Here is a 21238-nt window from a genome sequence, read left to right on the forward strand (position 1 = left end):
CTCAGTCTATGTTAAAAGCTTTGCCAATCTTCTACTTCGCCTGCCTGACTGATTTATAGCAAACTACACAGTAAAAACTTCCAAGCAGGATTTAACAGGTGTCTACATACAACAGCAAATGAGGACTTGTATGGTGAAACAGAGTCTTTAATAAATAAACATTTAACTAAAGAAACATTGTAAATTGACACTCTATAAGCCTCAGCTATATACACAAAATTAGTCTTCACCCTAGCTACACCTAAAGAGAAAGGGAAAACTAAATATATGAAGATGTTTCTTATCTCCTGACCATTTGATATTCCTCATATAATTCTGTACTTGTTCTTTTAGAGCACAGATCCCTTAAAAATAAAGCACTATTATGTCAGATGTCATAAAATGTTCTTCTCTGTACAGCCATGAGTATAATTTGAGAGACACCACACAAGAAACACACAGTTCCAAAAATATTCCCTGCTTTAGATTGTCACTAATATCTGAAAATTTCATTATTAGTCCTTTTGGATCACAAGCATAGGAAATAATAAGATGTATCATTCTCTGACTACCATGGACCAAGTTCTTTAAATATATCGTCCCTCAGCCATTCAACAAGTAGAATGGCACTACCAACCCCATTTCCTCTTCAGGAACCTGAGATTCAGAGGGATCGAGCAACTAACACCAGGTTGATGGAAAGTGATGACTATAAACCCAAGTGTTTCCAATATACTACAACCAGTTCATGTAGTCATCACTAGAAAGACAAAACCACAATCTCTGGTAGATAAAGCAAAAAACACTCCAAGGGATCATTGGGTTCTTTCTGACACCACAGCTCACAATTTATGAAGAAAGTGTCCTCTCTAGCTAAACCTGGATGAGGTGAAAGATAGAGCCAGGGCCAAGCTTGGTGGTTCATGCCAGTAATCCTGGCACTCTGGGAGGCCGAGGCAGTTGGATCACTTGAACTCAGGAGTCCAAGACCAGCCTGGGCAACATGTTGAAACCTCATCTCTACAAAAAATACAACAATCAGCCTGGCATGGTGTATTAGTCCGTTTTCACCCTGCTGATGAAGATATTCCCAAGACTGGGCAATTTACAAAAGAAAGAGGTTTAATTGGACTTACAGCACCACATGTCTGGGGAAGCCTCACAATCAAGGTGGAAGGCAAGGAGAAGTCACGTCTTACATGGATGGCAGCAGGCAAACAGAGAGAGCTAGTGCAGGGGAACTCCTCTTTTTTAAACCATCAGATCTCATGAGACTTATGCACTATCATGAGGACAGCATGGGAAAGACTTGCCCGCACGATTCAATTACCTCCCACCAGGTCCCTCCCACAACACATGGGAATTCAAACCATATCACGTGGCGGTGCACACCTGTAGTCCCAGCTACTTGCGGGGCTGAGGTAGGAGAATCGCTTGAGCCCAGGAGCTGGAGGTTGCAGTGAGCCAAGATCATGCTACTGTACTCCAGCCTGGTGACAGAGCAAGACTCCATCAAAAAAAAAAAAAAAAAAAAAAAAAAAAGAAGGAAGAAGAAAGAAAGACAGGAAAGAAAGGAAAGAAAAGAAAGAAAGAGAGAGAGAGAAAGAAAGAAAGAGAAAAAGAAAGAAAGAAAACAAACTTAGATTTGGTACTGTAGGAAGAACCTTGAACACACAGGGGTTGATGTGGGTGCTGGAGTGTCCAGCAGAAGGGAATGGTGCTATGTCACTGTGATAAAACCCTGAAAGGATCCTGAACCCATGTGTTGCCAACATCAGTTTAATCAAGGCTCAGGTTATCATTAAGACAACAAAAAACCTGTGCTTTCTTCTACTACATTCAAATTTGAAAGGCACTTCTACTCGGACACAACAGCACAGTCAGAAAAATGAAACAGACTCCCAAGATTGCTCCTTCAAAGCAGTAACATCAAAGCATCTAGAAATGGAATTGGAGAATGCCACAGAAATACGAGAAGACATTCTATAGCTTCTACTTGGGCTTTATAGAAATAAATGTTGTAAGTGGATAAAAAGGGATTTAAAAAAAAAAAAAACTTGCCCTTACCTGACTGAACCACCTGTATCACCTTCTGCCAAGTTCCCTGTGGGTAAGTGTAAAGAGAGCAGGAATAGTAGCCAACATCATCTTCAGAGGCATTCCGAAAGAAAAGAGTCATGTTATTGGAAGCCATCGTTGAATTCAAAAAGTAAACCCTCTCAGCATAGGGCTTCCTTATGACCATGCCATGAGTAGGGCTGAAAATGGCTATGGAATCCTGCTGGGTCCCGATCTTGAACCACTCCACCTGTGTTAAGATGCCCATTGATGGATACACACATTCTAGAGACATGTTCTCGGCAAAGGGAACTGATGTATGCCAAAGCACCTCTTCACATAGAGCTGAAATATACAACATCACATTAATTGTTAGCCTTGATGATGGAAACACCAAATCAATATCTTAAGCTTTTGAAGACCTAGTGCATTGAGATCACAGTAAAGGCTGACAGTTTCTGCCTTTGTCTAAAAAGGCGTCCTGCTGATAATTGGAAAATGTAACTTTTAGTTTTTCTGAACAAGTGAGAAATTATCCTAGCCAACTAAAGAGCACTGTAAATTCTGAATATGCCACACTGTACAAACAAAAACAGGAGCAAAACTTTTAAATGAAAATATAAAGATCATCTTTACCTCTGTATACATGAAGAAGAGCCAAAAGTAAAGTAGGATAATCCATCTCTGGAAACTGTTTGAAAGGCTGGTTCTATTAAAAAAAAAAATTGCTTTTTATAATGTGACATGCAGATCCCCAGCACAATGCAGTTTCCTTCCTCTCAGATGTTATCAGTCGTGTCTTCTTTTTCTGAAGTATGAACACAGGAAAAAGGCCTTAGCTTAAAAGACAGGTTTGCTCCTTTATGAGGATGGGCAGATTTGAGTTTCTTCTCTCTCGGGGAACCAGTCGGCTTATTTTCGGGCTTTCATTTTCTACAAGGAGTCATTCATTCAACAAACATGTGCTGCATGCATTCTCTGTGCCTAACTCAGCTGTAGGCAATGAGGATACAATAATACAAAAAAAAAAAAATATTGCCATGATAGAACTTACATTCTATGTGGAGGAGGCAGAAACTAAAATAAAGATGTAAAAATATAAATAATAAGTGAAAGGTGGTGCATGCATGGAGCAGAGAAGTCCTCACTGAGAGCATAAGATGAGGCAGAGGCTGAAGTGGGCGGAGGGAGCCTACGCCCAGCGCTGACAGCCCATCCTGTGGCCTTCCTTTCACCTCTTCCTCCTTGCTGATCTCAGACATTTGCTTTGATGAGGACCAAAAAACAGATCAAAAGCCCATCAGATACAAAAGTATGCTGGCCCAGGGCATATGCAGATCTACCATTATGAGAGATTTAACTTCTGATTTTGAAATAATTATAGAGTCACAGTAAGTCACAAAGAGAGTACAGACAGGTCCCTGTCCCCAGGTTCTGTCAGGGGTCATATCTTACATAATTATAGTACAATATCAAAACAGGATTCATTTTTCAGGTTCATCATTGCTCTCTTCTTTCTCTTATAAAATACAAGTTCCAATTCTTAAGAACTTGTTAGGTACAAGTTCCAATTCTTAAGAACTTGTTAGGAACATATCAGCATGTTAGTATAAAAAGTATACCCCTACAAAAAGAGGAATTGTATAAATGCATTTGACCCTGGTAAGACTGTCAAAATAGAAGATGAGTAAAAATTGGGAAAAGTAGGAGCAGAAACCACTGAAGACAATTTTATCTAATGCCGACCCTGAACTTTGTTTGTGACTCAGTCTCAAAGTGTATCAGCAAGTGTCGACTACTCAGCATGAATATCTAATGTGGGAACTTTCTCAGGGAACATAAAATCAACAATGCAATGATAATCAGAACAAAATTGTAATGTGTACATATAATCAAGCATGGTGTCACCTTGTGTTTATATGGCATTATATTTTCTAAAAGTTTTCACATCTATGATATTATTTGTGCCTCTAGTTGTTTTGTGATGTAGTCAAAAGAGGCATCTGTTATCTCTGTTTTGTAAATAAGTCAACCCAACAATTCCTCCAAATTGTACTGAGTTATGCTGGGTCCTCTGCTTAGTCCCTTGGAAATACAATCATAAAGAGGACACATCTCTGCTCTCAGGTTATGCATAATATAGTGGGTCATATTAATTTTAAAAGCAATTTATTGTAGCAAAACATGATCATCTCTATACAAGTCATTTGCTAAGTTTTATGAAAGCCAGAGAGAACAAATCATTCTAATAGATTGTGGAAAAGGTTTTATAGAAAAAGTGGGGGGAAAACAGAGGCGTGACAATGCGGGTGTTTCAGGAAATGGTGTGACTACAGTCTAGTGGGTGGGGAAGTGACCGAAAATGAGACTGAGTCTGGACTGAAAAGTGACCTGAGTGACACACATAAAGGAACTGAAACGTAGCAATCAGAAACCGCGGCGTCATGCTAACTTCTGTAACTCCAGCACCCAGCACAATTCCTCAGGCAAAGCAGGCTCTCAGTAACGCCTGTGACGTTAACACATTCCTGAGAGGAACATGGAGCCGCCGAGGAGCTGATGGAGAAAGCGGTGCACACAACTTCGCGTTTTGGAAAGATAATCTTGGTCACTGTACAGAACAAACTGGAGTGGCAAGGACATGGAAGACCTCCATCAGAATTGGAAAAATTAATTTCATCTATTATGTCCTATTATGTCCTAATGACAAGATTTTCCCCTGACAGGCACCAGCAAAAATCAAACTACAAATGCCGGGCTAAACCAAGTCCAGAGAATTCCTGAGGTCCTGAGGACAGGGTCCCCCTAAGTACTCCTCCTGCATTCATATCTTCTGTCTCAGGCCTGTGTCCCTTCACACACACACACACACACGGATACATGCACACACTGACACACTCACGTGCTCAAATGCATGAACCCACACATGCTGTCTCCCAAACATGCATGCACTCACACACACATGCAGTCTCACATATGCACCCACACATGCTCTAACACACATTCACACACACAACATGCACCCACATACACATGCACCCACACACACATGCTCACAGTCTCAGACACACAATCACATGCATGTGCACACATACTCTCACATCCACGCACACTCACACTCATGCACTTACACGTTATCACTCACATATGCACACTGTCTCACTCTATCTCAATCACATGCATGTGCACATATACTCTCAAACACACATCCACACACACGCATGCACTTACACATGCTCTCACACTCACATATGCACACATTCACACTTTGTTTCTCACACTCTCTCACACACACAATCACATGCAGGTGCACACATACTCTCAAACACGTATACATGCACTCACACACATGCACACACGCATGCACTTATACATGTTCTCACACATGCTCACATATGCACACACAATCTCACACAATCACATGCATCTGCACGTACTCTCAAACACACTCGTACATGCATACACTCACATGCACGCACACATGCATGCGTTTACACATGCTCACACACATTTGCACACACTCTCACACACTCTGTCTCTCTCTCTCTCTCACACACATACTGCATCTGGCGTGATCTCAAAACAGAGTGTACGGCCAAAGTCTAACATACCACCTGCTCTTTTACAGAAAAACTTTTTCATGCCCCCAGTCTAGTTGGAAAGACAGACATCAGACGAACATACAAATAAATGCACAGTTATGAAGTGCATGTCACGTTATGAAAAGGAAGCAACACACACAGGCATGGGAGAGAATGGCTGGGGCTGCAGCCAAGCAGAGGCTGTGTCAGGTTGGTGGTCGGGAAAGGCTCTCGGGCAGTGAAGTGTGTTCTGGAATCTGCAGAAGCAGGAGGCTGTGGCCACATGCAGGGTGTGGCCAGGTGTGTGAACGAGCAGTCCAGGTGGATAGGAGAGCAGGTGCACAAAGTCAGAGACTTTGTGGAAGTTTTTCAATCATTGTAGCTGGATACATTGAGGGGAGATGGAAACAGAAAGATGTAGAGATGAGTGGGGTGGGAGTACATTTGCCTTATATACTTCCTGGTACAATTCTAAGAGCGATTGGAGATTGTTAAGCACCAGAATGATATAATCAGATTTCAATTATTAGAAAGATAACTGACCATCACCCATTTCACTTTCCTCACTCCTAGCAGTACTGTACCTGAGTTTGAGTATCCACCCCTTTCCACACGCCACAGAGATATTATGACAAATAGAAGCTATTGTACTGAAAACTATGATTTTGTGTGTGTGTGTGTGTGTGTGTGTGTGTGTGTGTGTGTGTGTAGAGGTGGGGACGTGCTATGTTGTCCAGGCTGATCTCAAACTCCTGGTCTCAAGTGACCCTCCCACTTCAGCCTCCTGGGTAGCTGGGACCCAGCTGAGCCACCACACTCAGCTAATTTTTTAAAATTATTTTTTTTTTGGAGACAGGGTCTTGCTACATTGCCAAGGCTTGCTTGGAGCTTCTGGACTCATGTAATTTTGCACTTGTACATGTTGGCCTCCTAAAGTGTTGGGAGTACGGGCATGATCCACCATGCCCAGCCTGAAAACTATGATTGATTTGAGGGGTCAGAGAAGCCAACTATGGCCTGAGTTGGCCCATCAGAGTGAAGGAAGTTATTCACATTCCATGCCAGAAAAACAGCATGGAATGTGAACAATTTCTCTTCTCTCCATCCTTGTTTCTATCTTTATCTCCTCTCATTATGCATGAACAAGAATGCTGTCCTGGTTACCACAGGCAGCCATATTGAAGGAAATCAGCCTGAGGACAAACAGGGTGGTAGAGAGAGACAGAATGAATGTGGGGCTCAGATGGCATTACTGAGCTACTGAATCCACCAACTCTGAAGTCTGAACATATTACATAGAATTGCAAGGGGTCCTGAATAGCCAAAATGGTATTAAAAAAGAAGAAAAAGCTGAAAGACTAACATTTCCCATTTCAAAACTGTAGTACACAGCTACAGTAATCAAAACAGTGTGGGTATTGGCATATACATAGACAAATAGACCAAGGAAATTGAAATGATGATCAAAACAGATGTTAGGTAGGATGTGGAGGAAAGAGAACATTTATACACTGTTCATGGGAATGTAAATTAGTACAACGTCTATGGAAAATAGTATGGCAGTTCCTCAAAGAACTAAAAATAGAATTACCATTAGATCCGGCAGTCTCACTACAGGGTATCTACCCAAAGGAAAAGAAATCATTATATTAAAAATATACCTGCCCTTATATGTTTATTGCAGCACTATTCACAATAACCAAGATATGGAATCAACCTAAGTGCCCATCAATGAAGGGTTAGATAAAGAAACTGTGGTATATATCCACAATGGAATACTACACAGCCCTAAAAAGAATGAAATCATGTCTTTTGCAGCAACATAGATAGACCGGGAAGCCATTATATTAAATGAAACAACTCAGACACAGAAACTCAAAAACCACATGTTCTCACTTATAAATGGGAGCAAAATAATGTGTACCCATGGACATACAGTATGCAATAATGGACACTGGAGACTTGGAAGAATGGGAGAGTAGAAAGGGGTGAGGGATAGAAATTACTTAATGTGTACAACATATATTATTCAGGTGATGGTTATATTAAAAGTCCAGACTTCACCACTACATAATAAAACTGCCCTTGTACAAAACTGCCCTTGTACCCCTTGAATTTATACAAATAAAAATAATAATAAGCCCATACATCTATGAACAATTGATATTCAACAAGGTGCCAACCCCACTGAGTGGGGAAAGAATAGCTTCTTCAATAAATGGTCCTGGGACAACTGGATAGCCACATGCAAAAGCATGAAATTGGATCCCTACCTCCGTGAAACACAAAAATTAACTCAAAATGGGTTGACCTAAATATAAGACCTCAGACTGTAGAAATCTTAGAATAAGCACAGGGGTAAATTTTTAAGACCTGGAAGTTGTCAACGGATTCTTAGACATGACAGCAAACCTATGGGCAACAAAAGAAAAAAATAAATTGGACTTACTAAAATTAAAAACTTTTGTGCATCAAAGGACATTTTCAAGAAAGTGAAAAGTCACCCTACAGAATGCAAGCAAATATTTGCAAATAATCTATCTGATTATGGTCTAATATCCATAATATATAAGGAACTCTCACACTTTAACATAAAAGAAACAACCCAATTTTCAAATGGGCAAAGTACTTGAATAGACATTTTTCTCCAAAAGATGCTCAACATTATCAGTCAATAAGGAAACACAAATAAGAACCACAATGAGAACTCACTTTATATCTACTAGGATGGACATAATCAAAAAGAGAAAAATTAATATGTTAGGGAAAATGTGGAGAAATTCGAACCCTTGTGTACTGTTGCACAAGCGTTGTAAAGAAATGTAAAATGATGCAGCTGCTGTGAAGAACAGTTTAGAGATTCTTCAAAACGTTCAACAGGATTACTGTATGACCCAGAAGTTTTATTCCTAGGTATATACTCAAAAGAATATACTCAAACCAATATTTGTAGACCAATGTTTACAGCAGCATTATTCACAAAAGCCAGAAGGTGGTAACGATCCAAGCGTCTGCCAACAGGTGAATGAATGAATGAACAAATTGTGATCAAATCCATACAATGGAATATTACTCAGCCATAAAAAGGAATGAAGGGCTAATGCATGCTACAACATGAATAAGCCTTGATAACATTATGCTAAGTCAAAGAATGCAGAAACAAAAGGCCACATTTTGTAAGAATCCATTTATATGAAATATCCAGATAGTTAAATCCATGGAGATGGAAAGCAGATTGGTGATTTGCCAATTGATTGACTGTTGGAAGGAGGGAATAGGGAGTGACTGTTTAAGGTATGGGGTTTTCTTTAAAATGATGAAAATGTTTTGGAATCTGATAAAAGCGGTCATCACAGAACACTGTGGATGTACTAAATACCACTGAACTGTATATTTTAAAATATTTAATCTTGACCTGGTGTGGTGGCTCACACCTGTAATCCCAGTACTTTGGGAGGCCAAGGCAGGTGGATTGCTTGAGGTCAGGAATTCAAAACCAGCCTGGCCAACATGGTGAAACCCCGACTCTACTAAAAATACAAAAATTAGCTGTGCGTGGTGGTGCGCAACTGTAATCCCAGCTACTTGGGAGGCTGAGACAGGAGAATCGCTTGAACCCAGGAGGTGGAGGTTGCAGTGAGCTGAGATTGTGCCACTGCACTCCAGCCAGGTCAACAGAGCAAGACTCCGTTTCAAAAAAAAAAAAAAAAAGTTTAATCTTATGTTGACTAAATCTTAGGTGAACAATGTTATGTGAATTTCACCTCAATTTTTAAAAATTGTTACTAGTGAATAGTATGAGTCCACATTCACCCCAGGTCTTACCAATGAATGAGGCCACCCCATCTTGCTGTTGGCCACGTATTAATTGATTTCATTTGATCCCCCAACCACCCCGGTCCAAAGATGCCAAGTACATTCTAAGAATACAGTACATTAGCATAGTACAGTCTAAGCATAGAGTCCACAGACACACTCTGTCACAACTTTGTGATAACAGCTGGAAATCAATAATGCAAAAGATCATGATAGTCGAGGTTGTCAGATAAATGATTTAAGATATTTTTAAAAATCATTATGTGCTTATTAAACAAATGCCAAAACATATCTATTTTCTGAGGGAGGGGTCAGGGTTGGGTAAAGTGGGGTAGAGGTGCAGGTAGAGAGGTAGAAGGGCTGAGGGCCAAGCAGGCATCTGCAACACCGTGCTGCCTCAAATCCTAAAGGAAATGAGATGAAACCTAGCATCATCCACTCTCGGTGGTTTCTATGATCAGGCCCAAAGTGAACTTCCTCACCCAGGATAAAGAAATGAGGTTCATGGGAGGAGGACTGGAAAAGGGGTACTAACTGGTAATAACTTGTAGGAACTCCTTATTCCCAAGGCATCCAGAGCCAACTAGTCAAGAGATGAAGAGAACTTGTGTATTTGCACCCTGGAATTGAGGGTCCTAGAGGTCACAGATTCGAATGAAAGGGGCAGAAAGACTTGCAGCTGAAGACAAAGTCCAGCTGTTACGACTTTGCTAGAGATGAGCCCTATTTATCAACATCTAACCAAAGACAAATAGAGACAGCGCTTGAGCTATTTTTGTTGTGTCAGCAGCCATTTTTTGCATGATTTATGAAGGGATTTTGGCTTGAGGTTTTTTTTCTAATAGAGCTGTCTGTATAAAAGAGCTTTGTCCTCAAGGAAGTCATTAATCAAAATATTACTGGATTTCTCTACTATTAAAAATGTCTCAGCTAACCACATGAGCATGAATTCATCTCACAAGCTTGCCTCTGAATGCAGACTCCTAGGTGGCCTGGGTGGGTGGGGACGGGGAACACTCTTCAGCCACACTGTTCTTCTTCCTGTAGGCTGTCCACCCAGGTAGAACCTTCCCTGTCACCTCAGTTTCATTGTTTCTGCTACCTACAATATGTCCTGCTTCCCCAGATGTCTCTATGGTTTCTGAGCATTGGGAGGAGTCTCCTAGTGTCTACTCAATGACCCCACCTTCCCCAGTTTATGCAAAAACACCTGATGTGTGTGATGGAGAATCTGCTCTGATACCTTTCGACACTTGCTTGGAAAACTATTCACATGCTGGAAAGCAGAGGACTGTGAACAGAAAATCTAGCTAAACTCAGAACAAGTGACTGGGGCTGGGAAGATTATAGTGTGAGAGGTCGTTTGCTCCCTCCACTCCTTCTCAGATGCGAGGGTTTGCCTGCCTTCTGCTGGGATGCCCCAGCTGTTAAGAGGCTCATACTTCCAGTAAGATTTCCACAGGAGGCCGGGTGCGGTGGCTCACGCCTGTAATCCCAAAGTGAAGGCCGAGGCGGGCGGATCATGAGGTCAGGAGATCGAGACCATCGTGGCTAACACGGTGAAACCACGTCTCTGCTAAAAATACAAAAAATTAGCCGGGTGTGGTAGCGGGCACCTGTAGTCCCAGCTACTCAGGAGGCTGAGGCAGGAGAATGGCGTGAACCCAGGAGGCAGAGCTTGCAGTGAGCCGACATCGCACCACTGCACTCCAGCCTGGGCAAAGGAGCGAGACTCCATCTCAAAAAAAAAAAAAAAAAAAAAATTTCCTCAGGAACACAATAGTCTGGGTTTCTGCTCCCTTCCTCAAATAATCTCATTAAGAGAACCTTTCCAATGTGGGCCACATGGTCTCCTCTAGACCACGATACCCTTAGAACCTTGGCAAGTCATACACATGTCCCCAGGAGTGAGGCTACTGCTGAGTGACCAGTAGAACCCCACTTCCAGTCAACGCAAAGACTCCAGTTGGGGTTCAGCAGGGATCCTCTAAGACAGGGTTCTGAAACTATGGCCTGAGGGCTGGGCGCAGCCCACTGATTTCCATAAACAGTTTGGTTGGAGACAGCCATGCTCACTTGGTTACATACCATCCACCGCTGTTTTTGTGCTGCAATGCTGGAACCAAGAGGTGTTAGGTCACAACTGACAGACACCACACGGCCCACAAAGCTGTAAATATTAACTATCTGGCCCTTTACAGAAAAAGTTTCCCAACCCTTGAGTAGGATAATAAATCTTTGGATCATGGACATTTATTATTTAAGTTCATCCTTGTTCAGTCTTGCTGGAGAGAAGGAAGATTTAAGCTTGACAGACCAGATGCCGGTAAAATTAGCTCAGTTTTCTTATTCTCAAGAACTTTACGATCAGATCTATTATAAATACAATTCTAGAGACAGACTGAGAAAAAGTACTTAACTGGCACCCTTTTACTACAAACTGCACCCCTCATTAAACTAACAGTTCACAGAACACCGAGCACTTAACTTACTCCAGCTTTTTCCGGCAACTCTCTTGTCCTGCTGCATCAACTTGCCATGGTTTCACTGGCAGCCCCCACCCTTTCGCACACGATTCATTTAAAAAGTTGAGCTCAGACACATCCAGTCTTTTTTCTGAGAAGGTTACTAACCTTGAGATGTGAGTGCTGCTCGCTCTAACGCTTCTTCCCATCTGCGTCTTGGTTAAGGACTTTTATCGTATCCTGTTTATCGTGGCCTCCTAGCCTCAACACCCTCTTGGTCACTGCAAGCTCCCCGCTGCTCCCTCCCTTAATTAGCACTGCAGGAGCTGAGGGGAGCGTTCAGCCCACTCAGGAGCTGACTCTGCCCATGCTCTTGAGCTCTTCTCTCTACCAGAACTTCCTCAGATAGCAACTGAAGTGAATCACTAATATTTCATGAAGCGGGGTTTTTTGAAGTCAAGTTTACCTGCTTCTGGAAGCAACTTTACTATTGCAGCTACTCAGACTCATTCCAAACTCAGATAAAGTTCTGTCCCTCTTTTCCCCCAAAGAATCTATAATTTGAAAGGACGCACTTCTCCTTTGTTCTAGCTCTAAATAGAAACTACACTCCCCGCCGAAATCAGTTTGTTTCTTTGCCTTTTCTTCCTCGTGTTTTTTCCTGCCAATCAAAGCACATTAGATTCAGCCCTCTTTTTAAGTCAAGAGGCTTCCTTATCTCTGCCCATATCTAAGTATGTTTCGGTCTTACTTTCTAGATACTCTTTTTTTTTTCTTTGTCTCCCATTCTCCGACAGAAAAAGTACACAAGTCGGTGTTTCCTGAGAACGAACCCTGCATGTTTAGCAGCTTTTGTCTCTTAGAAACACTAGGTTTTTTGCTGCACCAGGCCATGGCAACGTTAGTTTTATTGATTCCTTTGATTTATTAGGTTATGGAGGTTCCCTGCTGGTTAAACCACCATGAAGGATTGTGGCTGAGGCTTTAGTGTGTAAAATTCATAGAAAGACTAGGAAGGAAGGACGTTTGACAGGTGAGAAGGCACTCATGGGGCTGCCCTACCCTGCACATTTAATTATGCATCGCAGGTACAGGACTGGTCTCTTCTGCTGGACCACCGCATATACGAAAGCAAGGGAGAAGAAAGTGCAATACTGCCTCTCAAGACACAAGTGTTTACTAAGACTTATTGTGGGCCAGAGGTAGCCAGAGTAGCCTTCTCAAACACCTGCCTGACTCTCGTCACTCCCTTCAATGCCTCACTGTCCCCAAGAGAATATCCAAATGTCTTACTGACTTGCAAGGCCTGCGTCATTGATGACTGCCATTTTCCCAGTGTTATGTCTTATAAGTCTTCTGCTCACTCCTAGCCTTTATTGCTCATCCAACTTACATTGTGTAATTTGAGGACAATGCTCTAATGGGGCAGGGCCTTTGCACGTGGAGTTTCCTCACCTCTTATCCCTCTCCCATCCAGCAGGTCTCAGCTCCAATGTATCTTATACTCTCCCTGGGGCCCACATCTGTCCTGTGAGTTTCCTGAGAACCCCAAATATGTCCTCACTGAAATACTTGCCACATCCTATTATGCCTATTCACTCGCTGCATTTTTTACTAGAGCCTGACAGGCACTTCCAGGCCCAGGTAAAGTCTCTTATCCCTGCTCTATCAGATCCTTGCACAGGGCCCTTGACCATGCCAGGTGCTCAGTCAGCACTTGTAGAATAGGACGAAGCCATGCAATGACTTCCATCTGTAAGGTTTCCATATTGTGATCACAATCCCAATTCCATCTTGTTTCCAATCTGCCATCGTTGGGGCTGCTTTTTTGCCTCAATTTTCGATTTTCTCAAGGAAAAAGACAAAAACAGTCTTGACCCAAAACACCCACTGATTTTTGCAGGACACACCCAAAGACAAGTTTTCTTTTGAGTCAAAACTCTTCCTCAAAATTATTCAGTGGGCCCTGAAGTGAACCTCACACATCGGCTGAAACAGTCACCGTCTACCCACGTGGTTCACAATAGGGTGAATGCAAATCCTATCTATCGTGACAGTAGCTGCTGCTCATACCTACAGGGACCTAGCTTGAAAGTATCTTTTGCTTACTCCCTGACTCACAAAATGCAGATTGATACAGGCTGGGGGGTTTTCCCAAATTAGTTTTTCATGGTCACTCCCTAATTCAGTGTTCACAGGCAAACACACACACACACACACACACACACACACACACACACACATCCTTCTCCTTATCACCCATAATAAAGCTATTGCTATTTTGTTTTTTATTTTTATTATTTAGCTATTGCTATTTTTAAGGGAGGCACAATGGAGATACCTTTTGTTGTTTCTCTGTAGAGGTTTATCCTCTCTGGTTTATTTAGCTTCCTCTTGGAGGCTCTCGAAATATGGTAATAAATACAAAGAACCCAAGACTTAGCTTTGAATCATTTCCAAAGAAACACAGGCATCCCAGTATCTTGGCCCCAAGGATGCAACATTGTTCCCCCAACATGGTAACTACAGAATTTTACTCAGCAAACAGGGGAAATGTTGAAATATCACATGATCGATAATAAATTACAAAACAAACAATAAAAATAACCTGAGACAAATTAAATTGCCCTATCCCTCCAGAGAACAGATGTCCTAAATGTTCTAACCAGCAGAACAAATGGACGTAAAGAGGGAAAGCAGTGAGATAGAATGAAGATTACCACTCAGAGATCAACAAGAGCCCTCTCTCCAACATTTTTTCATGACCCTTGCAAAAGGCTTTTTGAACAACTTAAAGCAAAGACACTCTTCAACCTTACCAGTTGCTGACAGAAGCAGGAAACAGCAAAAGTCATCACATCCCTAGTTGCAGCATCGCATCAGCTACCTCCTTCCTCTTTTTTTCTAAGGTCACCAAGGCACTAACTTGCTGTTCTAACAAAGGGTAAGGAAAGAAAGAATCAAGCATTTGCTCTGCCTTTCCTGTACAAATTATAATTCAAGGTGACCCGAGTTTCTCTTTATAGGAAAATTCAGCTACTAAGTGGAAAAAACAATCATAGTTATTTTTTAAGTCACCATTTTGCAACCCCTATTAAAATAATAGATGGAGACAATTGTTAATAGATGCTAAAACCATGAGGTGGAAGGTTAATGGGGAACCCTATGATGAAACGTGCTGCTGACTGACGATACCTGAGCCCTCAGATCAGCCGTAATCTTGCTAAATATGGCACAGCCAGGCATGAGAGGGACTCCCAACACGATGCAGCAGGAAGAAAGCAGCGCCACCTAGGAAGTCCTCTTCCCCGAGTAGCTGAGCCTGAATGCAGCCAAGCCTCTAGAAGTAACCAGCAGTGCATAGAAAATGCAGGCAATGGCTGGGCACGGTGGTTCACACCTGTAATCCCAGCACTTTGGGAGGCCAAGGCAGGCGGATCACATGAAGTTCGAGACCAGCCTAGCCAATATGGTGAAACCCCGTCTCTACTAAAAATACAAAAATTAGCCAGTTGTGGTGGTGCACGTCTGTAATCCCAGCTACTTGGGAGGCTGAGGCACGAGAACCACTTGAACCTGGGAGGCAGTGGTTGTAGTGAGCCAAGATTGTGCCACTGCACTCCAACCTGGGTGACAGAGCGAGACTCCATCTTAAAAAAAAAAAAAAGAAAAGAAAAGAAAAAGAAAATAAAAAGAATACAGGCAATAAAAGACTGAGTTAAAGGACACTACGAGACCACAAGGAAGCAACGAACTGAACATAGAAAGCAGGAGCTACTGCAGAACAAACATCTCAGTTTCCTCCAGCAACAAAAGGCAATTATGATGAACACAACCAGTAAATGCCAAAAAGATACTTGACAATTTTCGTTGTTGTTGTTGAGATGGAGGCTTGCTCTATTGCCCAGGCTGGAGCACAGTGACACGATCTTGGCTCACTGCAACCTCCACTACCTGGGTTCAAGTGATTCTCCTGCCTCAGCCTCCCAAGTAGCTGGGATTACAGGCATGCACCAACACGCATGGCTAATTTTTGTAATTTTAGTAGAAACAGGGTTTTGCCTTCTTGGCCAGGCTCGTCTTGAATTCCTGACCTCAAGTGATCCGCCTGCCTCGGCCTCCCAAAGTGCTGGAATTACAGGCATGAGCCACTGTGCCTGGCCAGATACTTGATAATTTTAAATATCCTTTCCTGGGAAAGACTTACAGCAATTTTACAATTTCATCAGCATGATAAAGAAAATTTATGAGAAACTAACAGCAACCTTGATAGTGAGACACTAGAAAAATCTCAATTCAATTTTGAAATAAGACAAGGATGGCCACAATCACTGTCAATATTTAACATATTCTGGAGGTTTTAACTAAATGTAATGGATTTTAAAAAGGAATAGGAGCTGTAAACCTTGAAAATTATTTAAAATGTAGGATTTGTAGGTGATCCACCTAGAGAACATGGTCAAATAAAACAGAAAAGAATTTAATAAGCTGCCTAGCAAAATAATTTTATAAGACTCAGTAGCTTTATTGTATATCCTATCCAAAAGAACAGCAAAATTTACACGTGTATGTATATGTAGGTATAATTGTGTGCCTGTGTGAATATATATGAATGTACCTCAAGAATTTGTAGGATTTAAACAAAGAAATTTGCTAATTTATCAAAGGAAATAAAAGAAGTCTTGAATAAATGGAGGTATGTCCTATGCTCCTCTATGGCAAGACCCAATTTTGAGAATGCATCAAAAATATTTTTTTAGTTACCTGGAATTTTATACTCTTTTACATTATTAAGCAGGTCAGGCTATGAATGGCTATTCATGAGGCACTTATTGACGGCACTCTGCAAAAAGGTCTTCACCTAGTATATTGTGGAAATGTTATATGTTTGCACAATCAATCATTGAAGACCTTTTACAACACACATATCCCCATGAAAGTAAGCAATGGATGAACTGCTGTGAAAGGTGCTCCCTGGAGCAGAAATCCACACCCTGGTTCTTACCTGGTTTTAGCATTGCCAAGGGCCCAGCAAACTTCACCCACGACTCCCTTGGCCACTGTTCTTTTCTTCCTCCACTGTTTTTAGTCCCCCTCTCTTGAGGGTCTCAAGGTTTCAAGGAAATAAGTACTTACACACACACCTTAAGGACTCCAGACCTCAAGCATCAGGCCCGGGTAAGTGCTAAGTTCTTCTTTGGGAATTTTTCTAAATGACACCAGGAAGCAGCAGCCAGCAGTACAGCTATATGGACAAACAGGGACTTGCAGATACCCACTATCTCTTTCCCCCAGTCCCAGTTCCCTGACAAAGCTCATGCCTTTCTCCTCTGCATTCCACATCCCTTTCTGCTGCAACTATTTGATAACATTGCACACTGCATTGTGGCTACTTAGTAAAGTGGGCGAGAGCTGCCATCCTGTAAGTATAAGAGTGTGAGCTTTGCAGAGAGACTTGGGTTCAAATCCTGTTCCACGCCTGGCTAGCTGTGGGACCTCCAGTCCTCAGCACATTGATGGCAGTGCAGATCCCAGCTAGGCCACAGCTGATCGTCCAGGAAGGCAGCCCCCACCTCATGTTACCCGTGGCCCAGTGGGCTCCACTCTTGTCGGGGTCCACTGAGGGTCTTTTAACACTCTCAGTGTCAAAAAGGTTGTTTTGCCTCCTGAGCTCTCAATACTGCTGTATCTCAGATTATTTAAAGAAAATTTCATTTTCCAAAATGGCAGAAACCTCATATTGTTTAAATTAAGATATATTCTTTCTAGAATATTTTACTGAGAACATTTTCATCTGCAATTGGACAATGTAGCTTATATCTGAACTGCTTAGTTAGCATCTACAGAACAGTCACTGTCCCCAAAACCCACCACCTTAGCAAGGTGCCTGAATGAGGGAGGGTCTCCAGCCTCAGCCACACATTGGCTGCACCTCCCTGGAATCTGAATCTGGTACAATGTTATCTAATGTGGTTAAGATCACATCTCTCGGGCTCCCTGAATCCAGTCCAATATACACCTTGTTGTATTTATTAACAACCTGGCATTTCACTCTCCAAAGTGTCTTGATTTGGGTGACAAACTCTATGGTCACCCTAAGAGCCACCAAGGGGGCTGTGGGTTTGAAGGAAACCCCTCAGTTCTGGGAAAACCAGGACAGTGGGTCATCCTTGATATAGCAGTGACCAGGACTCCCTGGGTCCAGCCCACATTCCCTCATGGCCAGCTCTCTTGAGGGGATGGGGTATGTCTTCTACCCACTCCTCAGTAAGGATTGCCCTCAGCTATCAGAAAGCATCTAACAATTCTGGCTTTAAAGGGGAGCAGGGCCAGAGTCTCACCCTCCTCTTCCTAGGACATGTGGCCTATTTGAAAAGTTGCCTCCTTGGCCCCAAAGACTACACGGATTCAGGAAGGGCAGGCTGCATCAGCCGGAAAAGGTCCTTCCATAGACTTACCCCAGGCAAGGGCATTTATTCACCCCTACCTGCACCTGCTTGAGGCAGTCAACAGTGGTTCCGAAAACCAAAGAGTGTGCTGAGGGAACCAGCTCTTTCATCCACTGGAGAAAGAAGAAGACAGCTCATTTTATAAAATAAACAGATAAACCAATATACATATAAATACTTTAAATTCTTCCTAACCTGCTGGCACACTCCATGTAAAGTTGTGCCCTTTGTCTTATGTTTGTATTTTGTGTTCGTCTCTGGACCCTCCAACTTGAATATGTGTTCCTTGATGTGAAGACTGCCTCGTTCACCACTGTAACAAACCAACCAACTGTCTGTGTTTGCCTGATGCCACGTAGTTTCCCAGGACTCAAGACTTTGAAGTGCTGACTCCAGGACATCCCCAGGCAAACCCAGACAGCTGATCACCCTAGCTGTATCCCCAGTGCCAAGAGCAGTGCCCAGCATATAGTAAGAGTTCACAAAACAATTGCTGCCTGGCTATGATCATAACTCTTATTTTGCAGTTTTGTTCTTAGAATTTAAAGAGCGAAGAAAAGAACCGAAGGAGATAGAGACACAAAAAACCCTTCAAAAAATCAATGAATCCAGGAGCTGGTTTTTTGAAAAGATCAACAAAATTGATAGACCACTAGCAAGACTAATAAAGAAGAAAAGAGGGAAGAATCCAATAGACGCAATAAAAAATGATAAAGGGGATATCACCACCAATCCCACAGAAATACAAACTACCATCAGAGAATACTATAAACACCTCTATGCAAATAAACTAGAAAATCTAGAAGAAATGGATAAATTCCTCAACACATACACCCTCCCAAGACTAAATCAGGAAGAAGTTGAATCCCTGAATAGACCAATAACAGGCTCTGAAATTGAGGCAATAATTAATAGCCTACCAACCAAAAAAAAGTCCAGGACCAGACAGATTCACAGCCGAATTCTACCAGAGGTACAAGGAGGAGGTGGTACCATTCCTTCTGAAACTATTCCAATCCATAGAAAAAGAGGGAATCCTCTCTAACTCATTTTATGAGGCCAGCATCATCCTGATACCAAAGCCTGGCAGAGAGACAACAAAAAAAGAGAATCTTAGACCAATATCCCTGATGCACATCGATGCAAAAATCCTCAATAAAATACTGGCAAACCGAATCCAGCAGCACATCAAAAAGCTTATCCACCATGATCAAGTGGGCTTCATCCCTGGGATGCAAGGCTGGTTCAACATACGAAAATCAATAAACATAATCCAGCGTATAAACAGAACCAAAGACAAAAAACACATGATTATCTCAATAGATGCAGAAAAGGCCTTTGACAAAATTCAACAGCCCTTCATGCTAAAAACTCTCAATAAATTAGGTATTGATGGGACGTATCTCACAATAATAAGAGCTATTTATGACAAACCCACAGCCAATATCATATGGAATGGGCAAAAACTGGAAGCATTCCCTTTGAAAACTGGCACAAGACAGGGATGCCCTCTCTCACCACTCTCATTCAACATAGTGTTGGAAGTTCTGGCCAGGGCAATCAGGCAGAAGAAAGAAATAAAGGGTATTCAATTAGGAAAAGAGGAAGTCAAATTGTCCCTGTTTGCAGATGACATGATTGTATATCTAGAAAACCCCATCGTCTCAGACCAAAATCTCCTTAAGCTGATAAGCAACTTCAGCAAAGTCTCAGGATACAAAATCAATGTGCAAAAATCACAAGATTCTTATACACCAATAACAGACAAACGGAGAGCCAAATCATGAGTGAACTCCCATTCACAATTGCTTCAAAGAGAATAAAATACCTAGGAATCCAACTTACAAGGGATGTGAAGGACCTCTTCAAGGAGAACTACAAACCACTGCTCAACAAAATAAAAGAGGACACAAACAAATGGAAGAACATTCCATGCTCATGGATAGGAAGAATCAATATCATGAAAATGGCCATACTGCCCAAGGTAATTTATAGATTCAATGCCATCCCCATCAAGCTACCAATGACTTTCTTCACAGAACTAGAAAAAACTACTTTAAAGTTCAAATGGAACCAAAAAAGAGCTTGCATTGCCAAGTCAATCCTAAGCCAAAAGAACAAAGCTGGAGGCATCACGCTACCTGACTTCAAACTATACTACAAGGCTATAGTAACCAAAACAGCATGTTACTGGTACCAAAACAGAGATACAGACCAATGGAACATAACAGAGCCCTCAGAAATAATACCACACATCTACAACCATCTGATCTTTGGCAAACCTGACAAAAAGAAGAAATGGGGAAAGGATTCCCTATTTAATAAATGGTGCTGGGAAAACTTGCTAGCCATATGTAGAAAGCTGAAACTGGATCCCTTCCTTACACCTTACACAAAAATTAATTCAAGATGGATTAAAGACTTAAATGTTAGACCTAAAACCATAAAAATTCTAGAAGAAAACCTAGGCAATACCATTCAGGACATAGGCATGGGCAAGGACTTCATGTCTAAAACACCAAAAGCGATGGCAACAAAAGCCAAAATTGACAAATGGGATCTAATTAAACTAAAGAGCTTCTGCACAGCAAAAGAAACTACCATCAGAGTGAACAGACAACGTACAGAATGGGAGTAAAATTTTGCAACCTATTCATCTGACAAAGGGCTAATATCCAGAATCTACAACGAACTCAAACAAATTTACAAAAAAAAAAAAAAACAACCCCATCAAAAAGTGGGCAAAGGATATGAACAGACACTTCTCAAAAGAAGACATTTATGCAGCCAAAAGACACATGAGAAAATGTTTATCATCACTGGCCATCAGAGAAATGCAAATCAAAACCACAATGAGATACCATCTCACACCAGTTAGAACGGTGATCAT

At 41.8% G+C, this 21238-nt stretch overlaps 1 protein-coding gene across 8 annotated transcripts in view, besides 3 other annotated features; it reads right to left on the reverse strand.

The window, feature by feature from the left end:
- CD226 (CD226 molecule) overlaps nt 1-17086 on the reverse strand; it is a 108500-nt gene extending 91414 nt beyond the window's left edge. For 2 of the 8 annotated variants that reach the window (NM_001303618.2, XM_047437276.1), the window contains exons 1-2: nt 2674-3186; nt 2047-2382 (exon numbers count right to left, since the gene is read on the reverse strand). In NM_001303618.2, coding sequence (NP_001290547.1) covers nt 2047-2382; nt 2674-2719 — 382 coding nt within the window. In that variant the 5' untranslated portion in view covers nt 2720-3186. Of the gene's footprint in view, nt 1-2046; nt 2383-2673; nt 3187-11926; nt 12113-16904 lie in introns of those variants that run through there. The other 6 variants (NM_006566.4, XM_005266642.4, XM_047437275.1 and 3 more) reach the window with 6 other exon arrangements.
- Nucleotides 766-895: an enhancer, noted in NCBI's record as "active region_13478". NCBI's record gives its function as "activates an Ori minimal core promoter by ATAC-STARR-seq in GM12878 lymphoblastoid cells {active_cell/tissue: GM12878}" and the evidence as "EXISTENCE:reporter gene assay evidence [ECO:0000049][PMID:35858748]".
- Nucleotides 906-955: an enhancer, noted in NCBI's record as "active region_13479". NCBI's record gives its function as "activates an Ori minimal core promoter by ATAC-STARR-seq in GM12878 lymphoblastoid cells {active_cell/tissue: GM12878}" and the evidence as "EXISTENCE:reporter gene assay evidence [ECO:0000049][PMID:35858748]".
- Nucleotides 1456-1505: an enhancer, noted in NCBI's record as "active region_13480". NCBI's record gives its function as "activates an Ori minimal core promoter by ATAC-STARR-seq in GM12878 lymphoblastoid cells {active_cell/tissue: GM12878}" and the evidence as "EXISTENCE:reporter gene assay evidence [ECO:0000049][PMID:35858748]".
- Nucleotides 17087-21238: the final 4152 nt, after the last annotated feature.

This window comes from Homo sapiens, chromosome 18 (genome assembly GCF_000001405.40).
Source record: "Homo sapiens chromosome 18, GRCh38.p14 Primary Assembly".
NCBI classification, from domain to species: domain Eukaryota; kingdom Metazoa; phylum Chordata; class Mammalia; order Primates; family Hominidae; genus Homo; species Homo sapiens.